This window comes from Homo sapiens, chromosome 16 (assembly GCF_000001405.40).
Source record: "Homo sapiens chromosome 16, GRCh38.p14 Primary Assembly".
Classification (NCBI taxonomy): domain Eukaryota; kingdom Metazoa; phylum Chordata; class Mammalia; order Primates; family Hominidae; genus Homo; species Homo sapiens.
This window is the reverse complement of record NC_000016.10, coordinates 35,079,836-35,106,087: the sequence shown is the minus strand read 5'-3', so window position 1 is coordinate 35,106,087 and position 26,252 is coordinate 35,079,836. Positions and strand designations below refer to the sequence as shown.

The following is a 26,252-nucleotide window of genomic DNA, read 5'->3' as shown; positions in this document are numbered from 1 at the left end:
TTGCATTTTTAGTAGAGATAGGGTTTCACCATGTTGGCCACACTGGTCTCAAACTCCTAACCTCAGGTGATCCACCCACCTCGGCCTCCCAAAGTGCTGGGATTATAGGCATGAGCCACCACGCCCAGCCAAAAGGCATACTTCCTAACTACTACATTTGGTATGTAATAGAAAATGAAAACGCACAGACACACACAATCTCACACAGAAACATAAGGGAATCAGTTAAAATACTCAGACAGTCACTCTGTACAGATCACATAGCTCACAGAGCACAATACCACAGTCCTGGAATGTTTGTCACTAATCCAAGACAAGACAAAGAACATCACACTACCAACAGAAGTCAGCCTCTTATTTCACACTGATTATGGAGAAGTACAGGAGTGTCAATTACAATGAAGAAAGTCAACAGAAACAGATGAGACAGGACGTCCTCAAGCAAATGTCTTTTTCATCATAGCAGCCTAACAGCCTTATGCATCCAAGAATGGTTAAACTACTTTGCCCAAACAATAATTAAGCAGCCAACCATGCTAACCCTTCACTAAAATAAATTATCTATCTAGTATCAGTCACTGATACCCCTACTCAGGCAACATGTTTTATCCATTTCACAAAGATTCCCTGTGGACTAATAATAAAGAGAGAACCTCATGTGATGGTTCTTCATCAGAAAAAAAAAAGTTAAGAAAAAGGTAAAATGAATTTTTAAATCTTTCATCAGAAAACAAAAACTCACATTTTCAATGTGACAAATATAACTTATACTTGCAAATTTGGAAAAGTAAAATTAAATATAAGAATTGTATTTCTTATAAAGTTTATTATAAGCAATACACAGTTCAGAAAAAAATGAACATGGAATAATTATGGGCACTCAAGTAAAAGAAGACAGACTTTTTTGTAATTCTCAGATAGTCTTCAAAAGAAATCAGAGCAACTGAATTGTTAAATGCTCCAGAAGTTTACAAACAATTATGTGTTTATATATAAAGTAACAGCCCATGGATGCCATGAATCTTTTTTTTTTTTTTTGAGACGGAGTCTCGCTGTGTTGCCCAGGCTGGAGAGCAGTGGCACAATCTCGGCTCACTGCAACCTCCGCCTCCTGGGTTCAAGTGAATCTTTAATTCAGTTGCAATTCCTTCAAAACTGTCTAAGACCAGAAGGTGAATTAAACCATTTTAAGCACTTCAACATGTGATTTCACCAGGAGCTGACACAGCGTTATAGTAAGAGTAAACTCATACCAAGTACTGCTGGTCAGGGTCCTCAGAGCGCAGCAGATGAATGAAGGGCCCACAACGCTCTGCTCATCAGCAAAATCTTCTGGATCAGGGTCTTCTACAGGTTGATCTGGCTGATCTTGAATCAACGTGGATACCAAATTCATTATGGAATCCACCTGTAACATGCGAGGCACAAGAAACCCACTAACGTGAAACCATTGGCATATAAAGCCATTATCAAAAGTGTTTCCAGTTATAAAATTACAGTATCAACAAGATATTCCTTTTTTTGGTGAGAAAGTCAATACACATGTATGTCATACACACATATACAGACAAAAGTCTGGAAAGATATACACAAAATGTTAATTAACAGTGGTTATTCTCTATCTGGTGGAATTATAAATGTTTTATAATTCTTTATACATCTCCAATTTTCCAATTTATATAATGAATAAGTTACTTGTAAATTTCTTTAGTATTGAATTACCCTCGCCTCCCATCTTGGGTATCTAGGTCCAAAGTCTAAAATTGTAACACTGTTTCCCTAAAATAGCACATAGGTATTCTCTTACCTGGTCTTGAGAGACAATTTCTGTGTTATAATCCAGAACACTACTTAACACATAACAACTCATGCTCTTTCTGGACTCATAGTCAAAGTACTCAAAGAGTGGGTGAAATGTTTTAATTTCAAGACTGTTAAAATATTTTTGTAAGTGTCAGCTGGTGTTTTCAAAAGTCTGGTGAGTTCCTTTGAAACTGCACTACTGGTGGAAATACTACAAAAATAAAAACAGAAGTCTTAATGAATAAAATTAACTTTCTATATACACAAATAGCACTTGTTCCATAAGAATTTGAAATTTTTCATTACACATTAAAGGAAATGGGTCAAGTGAATCATACCACCAGAAGACTATAGCAACCTCCTTTCAGGAGGATAAAAATGCTTATCTAAACACAAACACATATTCATCTATTATTTTTCTGTTGATACAAAACTAGATACAGTTTCCAACTCATGAACAGATGGTATAGCTGGAGTTAAGATGACTGTCTAGAATTCGATGACATTTCTAAGGGAAGTATTTTAAGTGGTAGTTTGGTTCCCAGGGGGCAGCCAACAAGTATTGTATATTCATGATGAAAACAAGTAGGAAGAAAATCCATGCAAAACCAGCAATTCGACACAACAGAAAAATATGTAAACTATTTCTTCTGCATCAGATGTTGGTGATTACGGAAAAGCAGGCTGCTGACTGACTTTTAGGTAGTCGTTAGTAAAATCATTCCGCAGAATTGAGGCATATTGGGACATTTATTACAACCTCTTTAGAGGTTGTTATTTCTAATTATTTTGTCTATTTTTACTTTAAAATTCACTTGGGGGGAAACACATAGATATATCATTTAGTTATTTTAATGTTTTTAATTTTTAGTTTTATTTTTTATTAGAGATGGGGTCTCGCTATGTTGCCCAGGCTGTTCTCAAACTCATGGACTCAAGTGATTCTCCCAACTCAGCCTCCTGAATATCTGGGATTACAGATGCAAGCCACCACACCTGGTACATCATTTAATTTTCTCTCACACTTATCATTCCATATCTGGATTTGTTTTCAGTTCACACACACACAAAACCAAAAATGACCAAAAGAAAAAGGGTAATACAAAGGGGGGGGGGAAAAGAAGAAATTTTATTGATGCAGGTAAACCACTGGAAGGGAGATAGAAAGGAGGAAGATTACATGAGGTAAAATTCTGAAGAATATGGGCGGGGGAGGCGGGCCTGGCTTAACCCAAGTCCAGAGCAGTGGGGAAGGGGCAGGAAGGGAACTTCTGGGGAAAGTACAGGATCAGTGCTGCCCACAGTGGCCACTAGAGGACGCCATAGGTCTAGAACAGAACAGCTCGGGAGGCTTCAAGTTGGAAACAGTACTGTTGATATTTCCTTGAAGGTATCAAAATCAAAGCTCAAAATAGAAAAGATAATTAAACCAATTTAATTCTGCACCTTAAATATATATACACCCCTCATTTTTCACCATGTACTCATTCGTAGGAAAACATCTCTTATGGAAATAAATACTGCCTGACAAAGTTTCCTTACCAGTTTAAGAACAAACTCATTCACTTATAGCAAGCTTGTCCAAACCGCAGCCCACAGGCCGCATGCAGCCCAGGATAGCTTTGAATGCGGCCCAACACAAATTTGTAATTTTCTTAAAACATTATGAGCTTTTGCGATTTTTTTAAGCTCATCAGCTATTGTTAGTGTTAGTGTATTTTATGTGCGGCCCAAGAAAATGCTTCTTTCAGTGCAGCCCAGGGAAGCCAAAAGATTGGACGCCCCTGACACACAGAGAGGGATCCAAATTGGAGGCACTGGTCCCTGAAGACTGCCTATGGTCCATAGGTACCACAATTTCATTAATATAAAAAAACAAGTAATTGGTCACCACTTTCTGCCCCTAGTAGTGCTAAGCATGGCAACCTTTTTTTTTTTTTTTTTTTTGAGACGGAGTCTCCCTCTATCACCCAGGCTGGAGTGCAGTGGCACAATCTCGGCTCACCGCAAGCTCCGCCTCCCAGGTTCACGCCATTCTCCTGCCTCAGCCTCCCTAGTAGCGGGACTACAGGCGCCCGCGCCCACGCCCGGCTAATTTTTTTGTATTTTTAGTAAAGACGGGGTTTCACCATGTTAGCCAGGATGGTCTCAATCTCCTGACCTCTGATCCGCCTGCCTCGGCCTCCCAAAGTGCTGGGATTACAGGCGTGAGCCACCGTGCCCGGCCAGCATGACAATCTTAATGCATGATTAAAACAAGACAAATGCCAGCAGTTCAAAAAACAATTGAGAAAGAAAAGCAAATCTAAGACAAAAATGTCTTTATGAAGATTTTTACAAAAAATGTAACTTACTGTTCAAGGTTGAGCTTATTGAATATCTCCGCTGCTGTTTCTAGAACTTTATCAATATAGTCCACACGATCAGGGTAACATTTCATGTCAAGATTAACGAGAGAGACTTGTAAAGATAAAACATCCTCTGAAGGCATGTCTTGTCTAGACTGGAATGTTTAGAAAACCACACAATTTATTTTAAACAATTGTAAAAAGAAGGCAGAGAAGTTTCAAAGTTTTGAGAACTTAGGAGAAATGCTACACAAACCTGTATCACTGTAGCCACCTGCTGTGAAAATATATCAAAAAGTTTAATATCTGCTGGGATTCCAGGTCCATCTTCACAGTGGCAAATAAAGCTAATCTAAAAAAAACCCCAAAACCCCTTTATTTTAAAAGATACAGGGTTTGGGTAGTGAGATCATGGATGACATCTTATTCTTTATTGCTTTTCTATATTTTATATGAGCCCAAAAGGTTTTTAAGTCGATCATTCCCTCAGTGTTTTGATATAGGGTCTTCCTCTCTTGCCCAGGCTGCAGTGTAGTCGCGCAGTCTCCCCTCAATGAAACCTCCACCTGCTGGGCTCAAGCTATCCTCCCACCTTAGCCCCCTGAGTAGCTGGGGCTAACAGCATGTGCGACCATGCCCAGCTAATTTTTACGTTTTCTGTAGTGATGCGGTTTTGCCATGTTGCCCAGGGTGGTATTGACCTGGACTCAAGCAAGCCTCCCAAAGAGCTGGGATTACAGATGTGAGCCACTGCACCCGGCCTCCTCAATTCATTTTTAACTAAACAGTTTTGCCAATGAAACCTTTTTCATCAGCATTCTTATTTCATACCATACTAAGTAGGTTTTCAAAAAGATAATTCTCTCAAACTCTTTGAAGCATAATTAAGTAGATATGGACAGAAATGCATTAAAGTGACAAATGTATTCAACAACCATGATTTAAATAAATAATCTTTAAAAATAAAAGTACAGACTATTTTAAGATACAGCATTTTTACTGCTTAAAGTTTGAAATACAACTAAGTCTAAAATTCATAAAATTAACTTTTATTTCCCACATCTTAAATTACTCAAAGTAATGTCTGTTTCATTATCATTATCTGTTTGTCAGAGTCACAACTACATCCACACTTTGTTATGCCCAGAAGCATCACTACTGACAGAGATGTGTAAGTGACATTACAGACAACACAGGAAAATCCAGTTACTAGCTTCCTTTAAGAGTGGGCCCGATCAAAAACTGGAAGCATTCCCTTTGAAAACTGGCACAAGACAGGGATGCCCTCTCTCACCACTCCTATTCAACATAGTGTTGGAAGTTCTGGCCAGGGCAATTAGGCAGGAGAAGGAAATAAAGGGTATTCAATTAGGAAAAAAGGAAGTCAAATTGTCCCTGTTTGCAGACGACATGATTGTATATCTAGAAGACCCCACTGTCTCAGCCCAAAATCTCCTTAAGCTGATAAGCAACTTCAGCAAAGTCTCAGGATACAAAATCAATGTACAAAAATCACAAGCATTCTTATACACCAACAACAGACAAACAGAGAGCCAAATCATGAGTGAACTCCCATTCACTATTGCTTCAAAGAGAATAAAATACCAACTTACAAGGGATGTGAAGGACCTCTTCAAGGAGAACTACAAACCACTGTTCAAGGAAATAAAAGAGGATACAAACAAATGGAAGAACATTCCATGCTCATGGGTAGGAAGAATCAATATCATGAAAATGGCCATACTGCCCAAGGTAATTTACAGATTCAATGCCATCCCCATCAAGCTACCAATGCCTTTCTTCATAGAATTGGAAAAAACTACTTTAAAATTCATATGGCACCAAAAAAGAGCCCGCATCGCCAAGTCAATCCTAAGCCAAAAGAACAACACTGGAGGCATCACACTACCTGACTTCAAACTATACTACAAGGCTACAGTAACCAAAACAGCATGGTACTGGTACCAAAACAGAGATACAGATCAATGGAACAGAACAGAGCCTTCAGAAATAATGCCGCATATCTACAACTATCTGATCTTTGACAAACCTGAGAAAAACAAGCAATGGGGAAAGGATTCCCTATTTAATAAATGGTGCTGGAAAAACTGGCTAGCCATATGTAGAAGGCTGAAACTGGATCCCTTCCTTACACCTTATACAAAAATCAATTCAAGATGGATTAAAGACTTAAACGTTCGACCTAAAACCATAAAAACCCTAGAAGAAAACCTAGGCATTACCATTCAGGACATAGGCATGGACAAGGACTTCATGTCTAAAACACCAAAAGCAATGGCAACAAAAGCCAAAATTGAAAAACGGGATCTCATTAAACTAAAGAGCTTCTGCACAGCAAAAGAAACTACCATCAGAGTGAACAGGCAACCTACAAAATGGCAGAAAATTTTCACAACCTACTCATCTGACAAAGGGCTAATATCCAGAATCTACAATGAACTCAAACAAATTTACAAGAAAAAAACAAACAACCCCATCAAAAAGTGGGCAAAGGACATGAACAGACACTTCTCAAAAGAAGACATTTATGCAGCCAAAAAACACATGAAAAAATACTCACCATCACTGGCCATCAGAGAAATGCAAATCAAAACCACAATGAGATACCATCTCACACCATTTAGAATGGCAATCATTAAAAAGTCAGGAAACAACAGGTGCTGGAGAGGATGTGGAGAAATAGGAACACTTTTACACTGTTGGTGGGACTGTAAACTAGTTCAACCATTGTGGAAGTTGGTGTGGCGATTCCTCAGGGATCTAGAACTAGAAATACCATTTGACCCAGCCATCCCATTACTGGGTATATACCCAAAGGACTATAAATCATGCTGCTATAAAGACACATGCACACGTATGTTTATTGCGGCATTATTCACAATAGCAAAGACTTGGAACCAACCCAAATGTCCAACAATGATAGACTGGATTAAGAAAATGTGGCACACATACACCATGGAATACTATGCAGCCATAAAAAATGATGAGTTCATGTCCTTTGTAGGGACATGGATGAAATTGGAAATCATCATTCTCAGTAAACTATTGCAAGAACAAAAAACCAAACACCGCATATTCTCACTCATAGGTGGGAATTGAACAATGAGATCACATGGACACAGGAAGGGGAACATCACACTCTGGGGACTATTGTGGGGTGCGGGGAGTGGGGAGGGATAGCATTGGGAGATATACCTAATGCTAGATAACGAGTTAGTGGGTGCAGCACACCAGCATGGCACATGTATACATATGTAACTAACCTGCACAATGTGCACATGTACCCTAAAACTTAAAGTATAATAATAAAAATAAAATAAAATAAAATAAAATAAAATAAAATAAAATAAAATTAAATTAAAAAAAAGAGTGGGCCCAATAAGTATGGAATTTTTGCTGCCCAGGATTGAGCTGATGATTTGGAAAATTTTGTTATCTAAATTCTCAGACTTTAAAATGAATAACTTAGTTTTTTAAAAAAAACATACAAAAGGTATCTGCAGAAATAAATCTTCTCTTAGGTTTCTGGTTTCATGACAATGCTTACAAGTGTAGGACAGACATTATGTACTACTACACAACATGGCTGCAAAAAAAGTCACCCATTGGCTAAGCATGGTGGCTCCCGTCTGTAATCCCAGCACTTTGGGAAGCCAAGGCAGGCAGATCATCTGAGCTCAGGAGTTTGAGACCAGCCTGGCCAACCCAGCAAAACCCTGTCTGTACTAAAAGTACAAAAATTAGCCGGGCATGTTGGTGCGTGTCTGTAATCCCAGCTACTCCGGAGGCTAAGACCCTAGAATCACTTGAACCCAGGAGTTGGAATTTGCAGTGAGCCGAGACAGCGCCACTGCACTCTAGCTTGGGTGACGGAGTGATACCTTGTCTGGAAAAAAAAAAACAAAACAAAACAAGAAAATGAAACTTAAAGTGGGTGTACTAAACATATTTGATACCTAAAATTTTTTCTTTAAGAAAATGTGATGATAGAGTGATTACTTGAACATTTTCAATCATCTGTATCTTATGGCTACTCTAAATCAAATGAGTTCCCACTGCAAGATATTTACATCATGGTAAAAAACAAATTATGTTCTTCAATATGATCTTTGGATTTGTACAATTTAAAAAATAAGTCTGTACAACCTCTTTAAATGTCAGTTAAGTGCACAGAATAAAGATATTCATTATCTTCATGTCTCCTGCACATTTAAGTTAAGCCTCTTTCATGTCAACCTAGGCAAGTACCTAGTATTCATACTCACAAAGCTAAATTATTTATATTATAATTAAATTAAGATCATTGGTATGATGAAGATGTAACAGAAACAAATAATTCAAAAAATGTTTAAAATTCATTATTCCCAAGTCAGAGCATTTATCCTCCAGTGTTGGAAGGTCTTACCTATCAATTAAAGCAATGATTATGTTTTTCACGTTTACATTCTGGTGTAACTCAGCACAGGTTCGAAGAAAGGGATTCAAAGTCTGGAGGTGAAATTCATCAGGGAAAACCTGAAAATCAAATGATCAGTACAAGTAAAAGTATTTCACATAATATTCTGAACTCACATACGGTAAAGTTCACATTTGTGGGAAAAAAAATTTTATACAACTAAATTCAAACACATTACTTTTGAAGCTCTCTACTAAACATAAGCTCAGACACAAATATTCCAGTAAACAAAGTGTACCTACAATTAAACTAAAGCTACGGAGACCTAGAAAACTCAGATTACTCATTCCTACATTTTGGAGGAAAACAAACCACATTGATACAAAGACCAAGTTATAACAGAAAGCTCTTGTTTTAAAATTATTTTTAGAAGAAGCAAGTTTACATGAAAAAAAAGCATTAAAAATGATTTCAATTTTTTATAGAAACGGCATCTTGCTATGTTGCCCAGGCTGGTTTTGAACTCCTGGCCACAAGAGATCCTCCCACCTTGAACTCCCAAAGTGCTGGGATTATAGGTGTGAGTCACCACACCCAGCAAGGAAAATTCTTTATTCAGGAAAGCTTATTTCCTATTCCATCAAAATTTTTTCAAAACAATTAAATTTAATGAAACATAAAATAGGTCCTTTAAAAAAATGAAATAAATGTTCACACCTACCTGAATAACACACCTCATGAGATATTCTTGAGCCAAAGTATCCCTACAGTTTACAACTTGCTCCAATATGCCAGACAAAACAATCTAAAAGAGAAAAAACACACACATAAGGGTTAAAATCTGTTTTTGAAATCTTAAGCTATTCCCCTAGTAACACATTTGAACTACTAACTTGAAAATCGTATTTGAGATTTTTCCCACCAAGACTTCACTTCTAAACTGTAAAAGCTATTTTCTTTTTGAGACAAGGTCTTGTTCAGTTGCCCAGGCTGGAGTAATAGTGGCACAATCTCCACTCAATGCAACGTCCACCTCCTAGGCTCAAGCCATCCTCCCACCTCAAGCCTCCTGAGTAGCTGGGACTACAGGTACATTCCATCATGCCCAGCTAATTTTGGTAATTTTTGTAGAGATGGGGTCTCCCTATGTTACCCAGGCCTATCTCAAACTCCTGGACTCAAGTGATCCATCTGCCTTGGCCTCTCAAAAGTGAGCTTTTTTCTTCATGGCTTGTGCTTGTGTATCCTCAGAAATCTTTGTCTAATCCTAGGTCACAAAGATTTCCTCTGTGTTTTCTTCTAACAGTTTTAGTTTCTATATTTAGGTCTCTGATTGATTTTTGTGTTTTTTCTATATGGTATGAGGGATGGGTCAAGGTTCAGGGTTTTTTGTTTGTTTGCGTATAAACATCCAATTGTTCCAGAATCACTTGCTGAAAAGGTTGCCTTTGTACTTTTATCAAAAATAACTGATCATAAATATCTGGGTCTATTATGGATTGTCCAGTCAGAGATCAGTAAACTGAGCTGCTGCTTGTTTTTACAAATAAAGTTTTACTGGAACACAGCCTTGCCCATTCACTTCCATATTGTCTGTGGCTGCTTTTGCACCATGTCTGCACTGTTATTAGTTGTAGACTGGGGTGTCCAATCTTTTGGCTTGAAGAAGAATTAGAAGAAGAATTGTCTTGGGCCACACATAAAATACACTAATAATAGCTGATGAGCTTTAAAAAAAAAAAAAGCAGAAAATCTCATGTTTTAAAGTTTACAAACTTACGTTGAGCCACGTTCAAAGTTGTCCTGGGCCGCAGGTTGGACAAGCTTGTTGTACAGTATATGTCTTGCAAAGCCAAAAACCATTTATTATCTGGTCCCTCACAGGTAAAGTTTTCCATTCCCTGTTTTATTCCCCTCCATTGATTGTGTGTCTATCCTTTTCACCAGTACCGCACAGGCTCTCACTGTAGCTTTAGAGTAAATCATGAATTCGAGTTGTTTGGGTCTTTCAACTTTATTCTTCCTTTTCAAATTTGTTGTAGCTGCTCCAGGTTCTTTGTTTCTTCATATAAACCTTAGAATCAGCTTCTTAATTTCTACAAAAGTCTGCTGGGATTTTGACTGAAATTACACTGGATCTATAGATCAATTTTTTAAAAAATGTTACCTTGGCAATATTCAGTCTTCCAATCCACAAACATTGCATATATATTTTTCCGTTTATTTAAGTCTTCTTCAATAAAAGCCATTTTAAGATTTTTTCAATGTAATATTATATAACAAAAATATTCTTATTTTAAAAACCAGATTTCAGTTTATCTCAGAACATAAGAAGAGGTAACAAAAAGATATAAACCTGTTTGTAATGTTCTACATTTACACCTTCCAACTGACTGAGGTGCACCAAATGTGTTCCCACTAAAATTCTCAGTTCTTGTCTTTCTCGCTCTCTTTTTTCTCTATCTCAGCTATGTCCTTGATGCTGCATTCGCACCCAGAACTTGTTCATTTCTGCAAAGTTGAGCAGTACAAAATCCATGGAATCACTGATATTGCTAGTTGTTTCTTCGCTGCAAAGAAACAGAAATGTCTTTACACAGTATTTATAGGACCAACTTACTATCCCTCTCCTTTGTGCAATTCCCACTTATCTCTGTAGTACATCAATGCTTTATTTAAAAAACCACTTTCAACTTCATTGGCTTAGTGTTAAATTTCAAAGAGAACAGACTCTAGGGAAAAAAGTACCTGGAGAGGACAGTATAAATTTAAAGGGCAAGTTACTTTCCCCAACTCCCTATCCTGGGCCAACTGGACTTGCTCTTATGGCAACTTCCTTAATTCAAAAAGGCTAGAAGGATGGGCATGGTGGCTCATGTCTGTAATCCAGTGCTTTGGGAGGCCAAGGCAGGAAGATCGCTTTAGGCCACGAGTTTAAAACCGGCCTGGGCAACATAATGAGACCCCATCCCTACAAACAAACAACCAAAAAAAATACGAAAGGCTAAAAAACGTAACACTTATGGTGTACTGCTAACTATATCATTTTTCTGTTGAATATTTTGTTTTTGATTGGAATGTAAGCTTTGTGAGGGAAGAGACCATGGATTTCCTGCTTTATTTTTCTGCATCTCCTAGGATGGAGACCTCAGTAGCTTTCAAAAATTTTTATTGATCGCCTAGTTAAATGCTCAAAATGGACAGTCAAAACGTAATGAAGCAAATAACTTCATCAATTTCTCTATATTGTTAAATTTTTTGTCTTTTCTTTACTGTTTAAGAAGAAATTGATGCAGTTGTATTAAAAACCATTGAATTGTACACCTTAGAAATAAATGGAAATATTAAAAAAAAAAAAACTCTGTTGGGGCAAACTGAAAAAAGATTAAAAATTAAAGAAAGAGAATAAATGAATAAACTTTTTAAAATAAAAGGAATGAAGTTCTTTAATCTGGAGACCTGTCATGTGAACAGCTCACCCCACTGAAGACCACAGTTGGCTGACCATCTGCCCCTGCTGTGGGATAAAAGTACAGTAGACGTTGATGCTAGAATACTGATAACACAAGAGACAGGAGTGTCTCTAAATGGCTTTTATTTTTTCTTCTGTGGAGTTAATAGCTAACTTGTAACAGCTAATTTAAATCACTTACATTCCAAGGTAACTAGCAGTCTATAAATTATAAAAACTGATAGACATTAAAGGAACAATTATGAAATCCAGCTGGCTCACACTTTATTATTTCATTACAAATTCAATCTCCAAATATAACCCCCTTAAAAAAGTTGTATTTTCAAAGAATGTTTAAAGTAGTGGAAAAATGCTCAATTACATTAAATGAAAAAAGCAGGTCCTAATAATCCAAAGATAAAATTTGCATAAGAGTACATTTTAGATCATACCACATATACTGAGGAGTTCTATATTACAAAGGAAATCTGTATACAAATGCTACCTAAATGGCTAAGTGGAAGAATTATTCATACTTACTTTGTTTCTGTACATGTTTCCACACTTTCATACATTCTACAATGAAAGAAATATTGCAACAAAATCAAGAAAGAAAATCACTCACTCTGTTGGCTCTCCTTCATCAAGTAAGATATTTCTGGTACACTGAAGAAGGTAATTTCGAAGAAACAGACCCCTCAAGGGATGCTGCACACCACGGCACATTTCTACCAAATCTTTCAAAATGTCCTTCCTGGATTGAGGAAATGACTTGGCATATACAACTCCAACTGTGATCAAAAGGTAACTAGGAGGATTATGAAGAAATGCTGATTAGAAATAAAATATTCAAATCAAGAATTTATTTCCAAACACACTGAACAAAACATTAAATAAACAAGACAGGAACCATGTTGTTTTCTCCTGCATGAAAAGGAAAATATCTGATTTAAAATATAACCACTGACTGACCTCTGAAAAACTATGTATACACACACACACACACACACACACACATAGACATATACTGTATATATAAAAGATAGATATTACTTTTAAACATATTAGGAAGAGAATAATTGTCATATTAATTTTTCTAACAGTCAAGACATTAAACAAAATAGCAAGCATGTCCATTTTTTTCTCTTTCTAAAATTCCTCAAATATCTACATAAAACGTCAGTCTAGTTACTCTAAAACAAATAAGAGAGTATCTACCAAAATGTTCATCTCAATTTGTTAAGAAATTACCCTTAAAACTTTTTTAAGCTGATAATCATAAAGAACATAAAGTGGGAAATACAGACACAAAATCCTCCAATTTGTAATTACTTACAGCCTTGGGATAATGTTTCCAGCATACTGTACAAGTTCATAGAGATCTGCCACTTTCCTTCCTTTAGCAAACTCATCTGTCAGGTAGACCTCCAAGTAGTGCAGTTATCAGAAATGGACATATCTTTTAATTATGATTAAGGACTAAAAATAAAGATAAGCCAACCTAAGCAAAACTTTGAAACTTGTTGGAGTCATTATTAATTACTGGGCGGATATCTTAAGTTTTAGTCCTTTAAGAGAGTGTTCAAGTGAAGACAGAATTTTAGCTGGACTTTTCTTACTTCAAAATAAGGGTTTTAAAGCATGTGTGGTCAAGCAAAGCAGTAAATACAATGGTTACGTGTCAGACTGCTAATGGGTTTTGAAATAGCAAATGATTAAGTTCCTGTCCATTTGAGACTGCTGCATAACAAAATCTAAGTATTAAAGAACCAACTGTGTCATAGCCTAAATATCCTCATGAAGGGTCTGAAAATTGAGATGCACCGACAACACATTTAAAGATGTTTAAGCATAGGAAAGGAGTACTCTCAAAGTGTTTTTCTCACTTAGCACATCTGCATGGAGAAGGAGTGCCATGTGACTCAGATAACGAAGAATAAGATAACTCCAGAAAAACTTCATAAAGAACAAATGAGATTGGCTTTATCAAGAAAAAGGTATGGTCCAAATGTTTAGTCTTCAACATTCAAAAGATACAAAGTTCATAGTAGCTCTTTGGTGATAACATAGAAGTCCGGAGTTCACCAAGCATATTAGAAGCATGTTTTAGAGCATCCATAAGCTTGTTTTTATCCTACAGAAATACCAAAAGAATAGATGAGAATGCTTAATTTAAATAAACATTTATCTTGGTTGTACAAACTCTTTACATCAAGGACTTGTTACATAGTTTTAACAGTATACAGCACTTAAATGATTTTAACCACATAAAAAATCAACTTAGATCATTTCACCTTGCCGTCTCTACTAAAAAGAAAAAGATGCATGACTCTTAGTTGACTTACATAACTAGGACTGCAAGCTTCTTGATAGAGCGCTAATCTTTTCAATCTATAGAGACTAGGAAACTAGCTCCATTCATCACATTTTAACTGCAATCAAGAGAACTGGCATACTGATTCAGGTGAAGCAAGATACTATCCTGACATGGCTTTGTCATGGGTTAAAGACTCTTCAGAGCTGTCTGAAATGACTATCCATGTAAGTTTGCTTTCCTCTTGCATTCTTCAAATCCTCGCAATGCCCATATGTTCCACTTAACTCAGAAATGCAAGCAATTCCTTGAGATAGAGGAAACACTATCCATACACAGGAAGAGAAGGAAGCAAGCAATAGCAAACCCTTCTTCTCCATTCCAAGACATTTATTTTTCATTCCCAATTTGTTAGGAATGAAACCAATAAAAGATACAAGAGCATATTACTATGCTTTAGAAAGCATAGTAAGACATTTTACAAAGGTAAGACAGAATCATCTTCATCACAGTAATTTATAGCTTAAAGTACCAACCAATTTGGCTTAATTCCTTACATTTTAATCCAGAGAATCAACAGTATCTACACAGATTATCTCTTACTTTATCTTTTAGAATAAGAAAATATATAAATAAGTGTTAAGTATAATTTTTAAGCTAGCTACAATAAATATATCTATTCAGGAAAGAAATTAAAGTTTTCAAGATATTTAGAAAAAAAGCCGAATAATTCAAATGCAAAGCATTTAAATCCATTCATTCAACAAATATTTACTGAGTACCTATTATATGTTAAGTACTCCTCAGGTCTGAGGTATAGAACCAAGGAGGCTAGTAATTCTGGTCAGACACTGGTGTGGTAATAATACAGTAATGTGTAAATAAAAGGAAGGGTCTCTTGTTCTTATGAGCTTGTATTCTAGTAGGGAAGACAGACAATCCCAAACCATAAATATACATGTGAGTAAACAGGGCTCTTTGTTGAAACTGCTCCACGCAGTGCTTGGAGGAGATGAGATTGAAGATAGATGCTGGTAGACAGTGAAGATTAGATTTACCAGAAATGGTGGTGCCACCTGACTCTAGAAGACACTGCACATGCTTCCTTAGGAACATACGAACTGCAACTGTGCCTCCCACATCTCCATTCTTACCAGGAATCTCTTCATTTGGAATGACTGGACCTTCACAGCCTGTATGGCTTCATCCAAGAGCTTTTCCTGCTCATCCTGAGGGGACTGCTGTGTTGTAGGCTGAAAAATAAAAAATTCCACTGATGTCTCAAGCACATTCTTCTAGCAAATATGTTATTTTCATAGTTTTAGCCATAGTCCTTCTCCAAGACTGTCACAAAAGGATCAATCCAGCTCTATACCTCAAACTCATTTACCAATTATTAACTGCTGCTGCACACAGAGCCATGCCTCATCATTGAAATTAACAGAATAAGACTGACAAAGGAGAACAGTATGTGTACAAAGAATTGCCTCTCTCTCAGAAACTGACTCAACATTCTTGTAGTAGGCTGGCATCAAAGAAACTTGCAGTGGTAGTTCATGGCTGTGTTCTGCTAACACACTCTGAATACAACCCAGACATAGCCATCCGGCCAATCAAAATCTTGTGACAGGTATAGCCAAAACCAATCTCTAAAGCCTCTCTTTTCCTGTAGACTGCTTATCATCTGCATTTCAGTCTATTCTTAGACAGACTAAGGAACTAATTTATGAGATCACTGACCATTAATATGCACGATTTACTATGACATTTACATTCTCATTACTACAATTTATTCCCAAGTAAGTGTCTTTTACTTTAGAGAGTCTTGTATGTTTGTTGTTTAGGTTTACACATATGGTGCCATAAATGGAACCTGAAAAGTTTGCTATGGAAGGAATTGGTGATTCTCGGAGCACGTATGCAGTTCTCACCTTATACCACTGAGCGCTCTGCTCGTATGTCACCTTTTCTGCGCTGGTGAGTCTTCCCTCACGTTAAGAATCTGTTACTTTGATACAGGATTTTTGACATTGTTGGGATCCAGTTTGAATAAGGCTACTTTAATAAAAGACCATCTATCCCTCCTAGCATAATAAAAGGCCTTTTGTCTATTCTGGTAAGTCCTTTCCGCTCTCAAGACAAATATCTTTCTGGATTGAGCACTCTTGTTTTGTACCGAACTTACCTTCTGTCTGTGAGGCATTTATTTTCTGGTTTGCGCACCTAGTTTAATATTTTGTTTGATTTACATATTTTTGTGAACATTTTAATCCTGGTTTCCTTTGAATTGGTTTGACTTTTTCCCCTTGCTTGTTTCAAAAAAGTGGCACTAGTAAAGTAGTTGCCACTATCGAAAACACTAGTCTAAACTCCTGGCATTTTCTTACAAGATTTATAGGATTTTCTTTGCTCTCTAGCTATTAATAAGAAACAGAATGTGATTCTCAATCATTAAGGCATGCTAGGTTTTCCTGAACTCCTGATGATTACATATTATGTTGCATTCTTTGGCACATTTTAAAATTAATAGGCAAAATTACATCAGAAAAAATATAGGTCTCAAATGGTCGTTATTTTAAAAATTCACAACTATAGAGTTAACACATGGAGTCCTCTAGGTTCTCTGTCTCTCTTTTTTCCTGCCTACGCTGTATCTGCTTACTTTTCTACTGGTGTTGAGATAAAACTCACTGCATATGGTATTCCAGCCAAGATTTTTTTTAAAACTTTATTTACATGTTTATTACATGTTTATAACTTGATGTTGAGCATGTATTAGTATAGACTTAACATACAACTTGGGAGAAAAGCTGACATTCTCCACTGAATGGGTTAAAAAGGAATGTAAAACTACAAAATACTTAAGTGTGAGTTCTAAATTATGGCAAACAGAACAATAAATACCTTGTCATTTTTCTTTCTAATTTTCCAAGATAGATTTCATTATAAAAATTGTTTGATAACAATTTAAGAAGGGAAAGTAAGGGATACTCATAAAAACTGTTTTACTTTAATTATAGGGTACAAATAAGAGTCTTAACACAGAAATCCTACCTCCTATTTAAAATATAAATTCTTGATGATATAATGAATCAAGGGGGATTAATTAATGTCAGTTGAAAATCTAATGACTTAAATCCATAAATGCCATTTGCTTTTGTCTGGAAGAGTTAGGCTGATTTAACGGTGACACACAGCAGAGTCCTATTTGACATTCATGTTAACTGTTTGGTGCTCAGAATGGAGATGGCCAAATACCAAGTACTTAGTGACAGAAAGTCAGAATTAATCTGTTCCAAGTGACTAAGAGCCAATAGAATTAATCTCCATCTCCTGATTTATGGTTGTGAACAAATGGATAGCTTTTTTCACCGCAAGTTTCAAAATTAAACTCTATTCTGAAGCTGCTGAAATTCACAGAACACAGAGAATACTGTCTATAGTGTAATTTCAATGTTTAAACGGTTTAAATACAAAATTATGGGTGATTATCAAAACTATTATTGGTAATAGTTTCTTTTGATTCCGTACATGCCCCTTAGCACATTTTGTGAAGAAATGAGTGTTCTTTTTAATACTACTCATCTTTACTCAAATACGGTAAAAAATCATTTTAAAATTATTTTCTACCATGGATTACAGAAGACTCTTACTAAAAGTGAATAATGCTTATTGTTCTAAGTGTTTAGAGAATCATCTGAAAAATATATTCTTTCTAATACTACTTACAAAAAACATTTAATGAAGGTAACTCACTTCTAATTATATTATTCTAGTGATAAAACACTTTCTCATGTAACTATTTAAAACAGATGATTTATGGCTTTTCAATTTTTAGAATTTCACATTTAATGTCATGTTAAAACTTTTCTAAATCAGTCTTCCAGTATCAGATTCTTCAATGAGAAAGAAAAAAAAGGACAAAAGAGGAAAATTCCTTATCAATTATTTAGCCTCCTCCCTTCCCTAGAAACCAACATTTTCCTTTAAATGCAAGGCACATTCCTTTTCTTAGAACAGAGATCAGGAAACTTTTTGTGTGATTTTGTGTAAAGGGCCAGATAATAAACATTTTGGGCTTTGTGAATCTCATTTGGTTTCTATTGCAGCTGTTTACCTTTGGCTGGTGTAGTGGGAAAGCAGCCATAGACAATCTGCATTTATAAGAACAAGTCCAAATTTGGCCTTCGGGCCATAGTTGGCCAACCGCTGCCTCAGAAGAATAGATCTGTATATGTAAAAGAATCATTCGAAAGAAACTGGTCTCTAGTCAGATGTGATGTCTGATTCAGAATCTAGTAGCTAATCACTCTAGAATATTTTGAAGTCAAGCACTTTGAATTTAGCCAACTTTCTGCTTTTAGTTAAGATTCTTCTATTGAAACACATGTTATGCTTTTCACTGGAGATAATTTCTCTTCATTTAAGAATGTGCTTCAGTATTATTTATTGAGGGGATTCAGTTTAAAATTAATAAATGGTGTCCATACAATTTAATATCCAATTTAATTTTTAAAAAACTTAATAAAAAATATAATGGAATCAAAACATGTAAGTACACTCTCTATCCACTCCAGTAATTCATTTAAGTCATACCAACTATAGAATATGAAAAATCAATTCAGAAGTGTAATTACTTTAAAATATACTACTTCCACTTTTGTCAGTATTTTACATTTATGTATCTATTCTACAGTGGAAGCAGAAATTCTCTCCAAATACATTATCTCCTTAAAATCTTGAGGTGCCTATTAGAGCCACAGTCAATCTCTGACATATAAAATTGCAGCACAGGCCTTTCAAATTTGGCATTTCACTGGTACAATACAACGACCAAGATATATAATAATATGTAATAAGTAAAGTGCCTACACATTATACAATATATATCATACAATATAATATGTAAAGTGCCTAGACATTCCAGTAAGAACCATTATTTTCTTTAATGTAGAATGATTAATATATATTCTACAAGGGGCACTGAGATTAGTAATTCTATAGGGTATGTCCTGACATAATTTTCAAATTGTACAATAACATAAACAACTTTGTTAAGGCCATGTTTTATTTGCTGATTAATGGACACAAGGCAATGTAATTTATTTTCAAGTATTTCCTTGAAAGTCTGTGCTCATAAAAATCATGAAAAGTTGGAAAGACTGTTAAATCACTGAAACTTTAAATATATCTTACACAATCTTGTTTGTACAAAAATACAAGTTAAATATAAACATAAAGCAATCATGAAAATGTTATGCAAATCTGTTTTATGTGATCATCAGTTATATATAAAAGTTTCTCAATTCTGTTATTTATGAAAAGATCAATACCAGATTGAATGACTATCTATTGACAAAGGGCCCTAAAAAGCTTACTTTAGCACTAATCTTTTACATGGTTAAGGGCATTTCCTAATTTGAGATCACCTAAACACTGGAAAAAAAATGAAAGGGCAGTATGTCCATAAACCAACAAATAATTTGGCTGTAATGTATCATAAGACACAAAGAAACCCCACACATCTGTACAATAAACATGTATTAGATACTCACACACAGGTGTATGTGTGTGTGCATGCACATACACACACACACATACACGCAACACACACCCAGTCATAAAACAAAGCCTAATGAGGTGCTGCTTCCAGTTCAATATTCACCTGTGCATTTTTTTCTTATTTCATCAAATGAAGAGCTTTTTGTCACCGTGCCATTCTTGAAGACAGTATGGAGAAGATCATGACCATATTCCTCAAGGTCTCCTTTTCTTTCCTCCAGTGTAACAAAATTCTCTGCTGGCGTCCTATGTAAAGATAACTGGCCCTTTGGAACTTTTGTTGGGATCCCACTCACAGGAACCTCAGGCTGTATCTACCTGGCCAAGCTCACCTAGATGGTGGAGGCAATTAGGCCTGCCTTGGGAGCCCAGGGACCTTAGCCTCAGTCTCTTCATATTTAGAAAAGGGCAAGAAAACCGTTTTTTGAAAAAACTGAACACAAGGAGACGGCAGCGCTTAGTGATGAATGAGGAGTGTGAGAGCTGAAGCAGGTTTGGCATCCAGCAGCTGTGTGCCAGGTGGGCTTGGGCAGGAACCTCTCAGACTCAGTTTCCTCATCCCTGAGTAACAACAAAAACAGTAACAATAAAAGTATTGACATTTACAAGATGTCCAAAAGATTATAGAATATTGTGTGTAGAAAGAAGCTGCGCCATCCCTGGTAAAGTCAGAACCCAAGAAATTGCAGCTCCTACTTCTTCCATCATCATCTCTAGGAAGTAAGATTATGAGAGTTTTACTGAGCAGCAATTTTTCCTCATTTCTCTTAGCAACAGCACTAGTAACTTTTAAACACCAGCAAGCCAAACGTCCTATGCAAATGAAATCCTGCCCTTAAAGGACCATGGCTGGGCAGCATGGGCCCAGGTGTGGGCCCCATGGTGGTTAGTGGAGGGCAAGAGAGAAATTGGGCCCTCTCCACCCAGAGACTCAGAGAGGCCAGAAAAAGGCCTCTCCAGGAAGCAGAAGGCTAGAAGGCCTTGCAGGGGACCCTGACTAGCCTTCAGGGCACCTGACAGGGCTGGGCCTGTGCCAGCTTCCCTCACTTTCCACCTCTCCACAGAAGAACCTGGCCGCAGGTGGCAGGTGGGTCTGAGGCTGCCAAGCACTCACCAGACGCTGTGGGTACCTTCAATATGGCCCTTTTTGAAACAGCAGCTCAAGCAGATCCTTGGGGAGCAGCTTCCTCATCGTCTGGAACTTCTCACTCCAGGCCCGGGTCTGCACGGGAGCCAGGGAGGGAGATGCGGGCTCACCCATGGCTGAGACCTCCTCTGCGATGTCCTTTCTTCCACCTCCCCATGGACAGGCCCAGATGCCCTAATGAACAGCCCAGCATGGAGACTACAGGAGAGTGAACAGAACCGTCTGGCACCCAGGAGGGAGGGGGGTGCTTGGTGAGCACAGGGTGAGGCCCCAGGCCCCAGTCCAGAAATGTGCTCCTTGCAGCCCAGCCTCGAGGTGGAGGTTTCCTGTGTGCACACGCAGTCCATGTTGTGTTCTCCCTTGGGGTCATCCAGCTGCACATCTAGAACAAGGTGGCCATTCCTCTGGACACTGTGGCAGGTAGGGGATGGGGAGATGGGGCAGCCCACAAAGCTCAGTGCCCTGCCATGGACCCCTTCTGCTCCGAGACCTCCCTGCTGTGGGTTCTTCACACCCTGAGACACTGCCCTGAAGTCAGACAGAAGCAAATGAGCTCCTCTCCCAAGACTGCCCTCTCCCATGCTGGCTGATGACTTCCTAGAGGGGGAATCAGTCACCAGGGGCTGGGGACTGTTTCTTCGGGTGGATGCCCTGGAGTTCAGGCTGGCTGGTTCATCCCATTCCTCCATGTGCATGAGACAAGGCAGGGCAGAAATGACACAGGCACCACCTTTACTTCTGCATTCCTGCAAAGTGGTTTCTGCAGGTCCCGCTGATACGGTTAAGCAGCTCTGCTAGGGAAGGGCTTCGGAAGTGGCTCTGGTAGGTTTGGGGTTGTGGTGAGAGGCCATGGATCTACAAGGAGAGGGTGGTCACTGAGCAGATGGCTGGGTATCTACCCACAGACCCAGAACCAGTGACATGTCAGGGGGTTATGGCTGGCTGGCAGGGACTCACTGATTGAGGTGAAAGCCTCATGTGTATGCGGTCATGCAGCCTTGTAGGTCCTCAGCCATGATCACCAACAAGCACATGAGGTCCCCAGAAGGTGGGTTCAGGCTGCTTTTGGTGAGCACTTTCAGGCACTGCGCAGGATGCAGGCATGGCCAAGTGTGAATGCACCAGGCCTCCTGGAGTGTGGCCCTCCATCCCAGTGAAGAGCCTCTTTCTTGCTACCCCCGGAAATTTTCCATTCCAGTCACAGTTCTGGGACTGCACAAGACACCATGGCTACTCCTGGCTCCCTGGATGGATGTACTCAGGTGGTGTGCCACCGAGGGGCTCCATCTTCAAGCCCTTCTGAGGGCCCCATGGTCACTGGTCAGCACAAGGTAAGGACATCCAGGGCCAGCTTTCTGTCTTCCTAAATGTGGTCCTGGTCTTGGTGCCTCCCCAGACGACTCCAGTGGGAAGCCCTGGTCCTCAGCCCCTTCGTCAGTCCCTGGCCCCCATGCTCCTTGCTCTTCTGCCCAATTCCCAACCCCAGTGCCTCGTGCAACTCCCAGGTCACCCCCAGTGAAAATGCTCAGGAAGAACAAAAAGCTACCCTCAGCCCTGTTGGAGGCATCAGATGGGTCGGGGTCCATGCTCTTGCATAGGTTTCCACCCTGGTCCACTTGGATGTGGGCCTCACACATGGTATAGGGCTCTGTCAGGAAGTGGCGTGGTGGGGGGGTTCCCAGGCACCTGCACTCTGGAACAGCCCGCCTAGCACACAGCAGAGTTTGCGGGTGTGTTATCATGCATGGTTTAATTTTCAGCTTTAGGCTTTCATTTTCAAATTTCACTATGAACACTGGAATTCTGGTTTACACACACACACACACACACACACACACACACACCATCTGCCTGCTGGCAAGCAGGGATCCTTGTTGGCAAAGAACTTTCTCCCAAATGCCTCTAGAGGACACCCAGGGCTTGGGGAGCCCACAAGGCCACCTCCTCTGTGTGGACCTGTGTCTCAGGTGGGCAGGGCCGTCAGAGCTTCAGGGTCTCCACAACCTCGCACTGCTGTCATGGGGCAGCCCCCATGCAGGGGTGGCCTGGGGACTTCCCAGGGTCCCCAGTTTGAACACTGCCCCTCCATGTGTTTCTTGGGATTTGGAATTGCAGTTATTTAGGGGGAGGAGAGAGGTTCTATGATCAACTCTGTGTGCCGTTGAACTATAGACCTTTTCCACAATTGCTCTTAACAAGCAGAGAGACCCTGGGATCCTGAGCGGCTTCTTCCCAAAGAAGCTCTGAGTCCACGAGAGCAGAGTTTACAACCAAGCCAGTCTCACCACACCTGCTTATTGTGCTGGATCAGGCCGACTTCTGCACTCAGGAGCTGTGAGGCTTTTTGGTTTTCTTAAATGAATGTCATTTATACTTACAGAATTCCATCGGGCTGATTTCCAGCCTGGCTTGGTACTCCCCGATATTTTTAGCCTCATGACTGTTTTTTAACCCATGGGCCATGAATTTGGAGGGTGCAGGTGTGATGGCCTGAGAGGCAGAGCTGTGCTCCAATCCTGCCCTGATGTGCTAATCTGTGACACAGAGACCCCAAAAGGGCAGGGACCTCCAGGAGCCCTCCCCTGATCAGGCCACCCAACTTCCAGACAAACCTCCACCTTGCACAGCACTGAGTCCTCTTGCAGCCCCTGGATGCTGTGCAGAACTAAGAAGCGCTCCAGTGTGCTGTCTTCTGGGTGCAGCAAGAAGCAGGTGTAATGACATGGGACTCCATGGTCCATGAGCACCTGGTGGATCTCCTGCTTGATCTCCTGGGGTAAGACTTCTGCCAGTGATAAGGCCCCCAGTACCTTGGGGAAGAGGACATATGGCAGGGAGAAAGGACATGCTCCCTTGTCCCCAGCCCAAAATACCCAGGTCCCAAGAATAAATACCCAACATGCTCAGTTTCCCACTTTTTGGCTTACGTTCCAGGTTCTGGCTGTACACACCAAGTCCACCTACTCATATGTGTGTGCTGGATGGAGCCCGGCCCTGCTGGCTATTCCTGAGCCCAAGAGTAACACCTGAGCAGAGTAGGGGGAGATGGAAGAACAAGGGGAGGGAAAAGAACAGCCTTGTCTCCTCCCTAAACCGGTACTAATGGCCCCAGGAAAAATGGCTTTCACCTTCCATTAGGGGCACTCCAAGGCCCAACCCTGGGGACACAGAGGACATGAGAGGGCTTTGCCTGGTTCCCCATTGAGTTAAAAGCATGCAACACCTCTGGGCTGGCTCTGCCCTTGGAGATCACCCAACACCACCTCCCCTCTGGCAGATGGTGAAGTCATGGCCCAGAGAGAGGTGACTTGCCTCAGGGCACAGAGCAAGAGGCTGGGAGTCCTGGGACCCCTCTCCCACCAGCCAGTCACTCCCACTCCTCTCCCCAAACAGGCCTGGCAGGTCCAGCTGGTAGCTGTCTTCTAGCAGTGGGGCAGTGACCTGAGTCTGGACTCCATTCCCACGTCCAGCACACCAGCTGAATGTCCCTGGGTGTTGGGAACAGGCCCCCAAATCTGGCCATAAACTGGCCCCAAAACTGGCCCTAAGCAAAATCTCTGCAGAACTGTGACATGCTCATGATGGCCATGACACCCACGCTGAAGGTTGTGGGTTTACCAGAATGAGGGCAAGGAAAACCTGGCCCACCCAGGGTGGAAAACCCCTTAAAGGCATTCTCAAACCACAAACAATAGCATGAGCTATCTGTGCCTTAAGGACATGCTCCTGCTGCGATTAACTAGCCCAACCCATCCCTTTACTTGGGCCCATCCCTTTATTTCCCATAAGAAATACTTTTAGTTAATCTATAATCTATAGAATCAATGCTGATCACTGGCTTGCTGTCAATAAATATTTGGGTAAATCTCTGTTTAGGCCTTTCAGCTCTGAAGGCTGTGGGACCCCTGATTTCCCACTCCACACTCTATATTTCTGTGTGTGTGTCTTTAATTCCTCTAGTGCTGCTGAGTTAGGGTCTCCATGACCGAGCTGGTCTCGGCAAGCAGCACCCAACATCGAAGCTCGAACCCAGGTCAAAGGGTCACCAGAGCGACAGTTGAAGAACTTGGAACTAAGCTGGAGGACACCCAAGTACTCTTTTTTTTAAAATATATTTATTTATTTACTTATTATTATTATACTTTAAGTTTTAGGGTACATGTGCACAATGTGCAGGTTAGTCACATATTTATACATGTGCCATGCCGGTGCGCTGCACCCACTAACTCATCATCTAGCATTAGGTATATCTCCCAATGCTATCCCTCCCCCATCCCCCCAACCCACAACAGTCCCCAGAGTGTGATGTTCCCCTTCCTGTGTCCAAGTGTTCTCATTGTTCAATTCCCACCTATGAGTGAGAATATGCGGTGTTTGGTTTTTTGTTCTTGTGATAGTTTACTGAGAATGATGATTTCCAATTTCATCCATGTCTCTACAAAGGACATGAACTCATCATTTTTCATGGCTGCATAGTATTCCATGGTGTATATGTGCCACATTTTCTTAATCCAGTCTATCATTGTTGGACATTTGGGTTGGTTCCAAGTCTTTGCTATTGTGAATAATGCCACAATAAACATATGTGTGCATGTGTCTTTATAGCAGCATGATTTATAGTCCTTTGGGTATATACCCAGTAATGGGATGGCTGGGTCAAATGGTATTTCTAGTTCTAGATCCCTGAGGAATCGCCACACTGACTTCCACAGTGGTTGAACTAGTTTACAGTCCCACCAACAGTGTAAAAGTGTTCCTATTTCTCCACATCCTCTCCAGCACCTGTTGTTTCCTGACTTTTTAATGATTGCCATTCTAAATGGTGTGAGATGGTATCTCATTGTGGTTTTGATTTGCATTTCTCTGATGGCCAGTGATGGTGAGCATTTTTTCATGTGTTTTTTGGCTGCATAAATGTCTTCTTTTGAGAAGTGTCTGTTCATGTCCTTTGCCCACTTTTTGATGGGGTTGTTTTTTTTTTTCTTGTAAATTTGTTTGAGTTCATTGTAGATTCTGGATATTAGCCCTTTGTCAGATGAGTAGGTTGCGAAAATTTTCTGCCATTTTGTAGGTTGCCTGTTCACTCTGATGGTAGTTTCTTTTGCTGTGCAGAAGCTCTTTAGTTTAATTAGATCCCATTTGTCAATTTTGTCTTTTCTTGCCGTTGCTTTTGGTGTTTTAAACATGAAGTCCTTGCCCATGCCTATCTC

General features: G+C 39.4%; 3 pseudogenes; all 3 read right to left on the bottom strand.

Moving 5' to 3' along the window:
* Positions 1,252-15,587, bottom strand: VPS35P1 (VPS35 pseudogene 1; annotated as a pseudogene).
* Positions 19,969-20,192, bottom strand: NAMPTP3 (nicotinamide phosphoribosyltransferase pseudogene 3; annotated as a pseudogene).
* On the bottom strand, positions 21,772-22,691 carry CLUHP11 (clustered mitochondria homolog pseudogene 11; annotated as a pseudogene).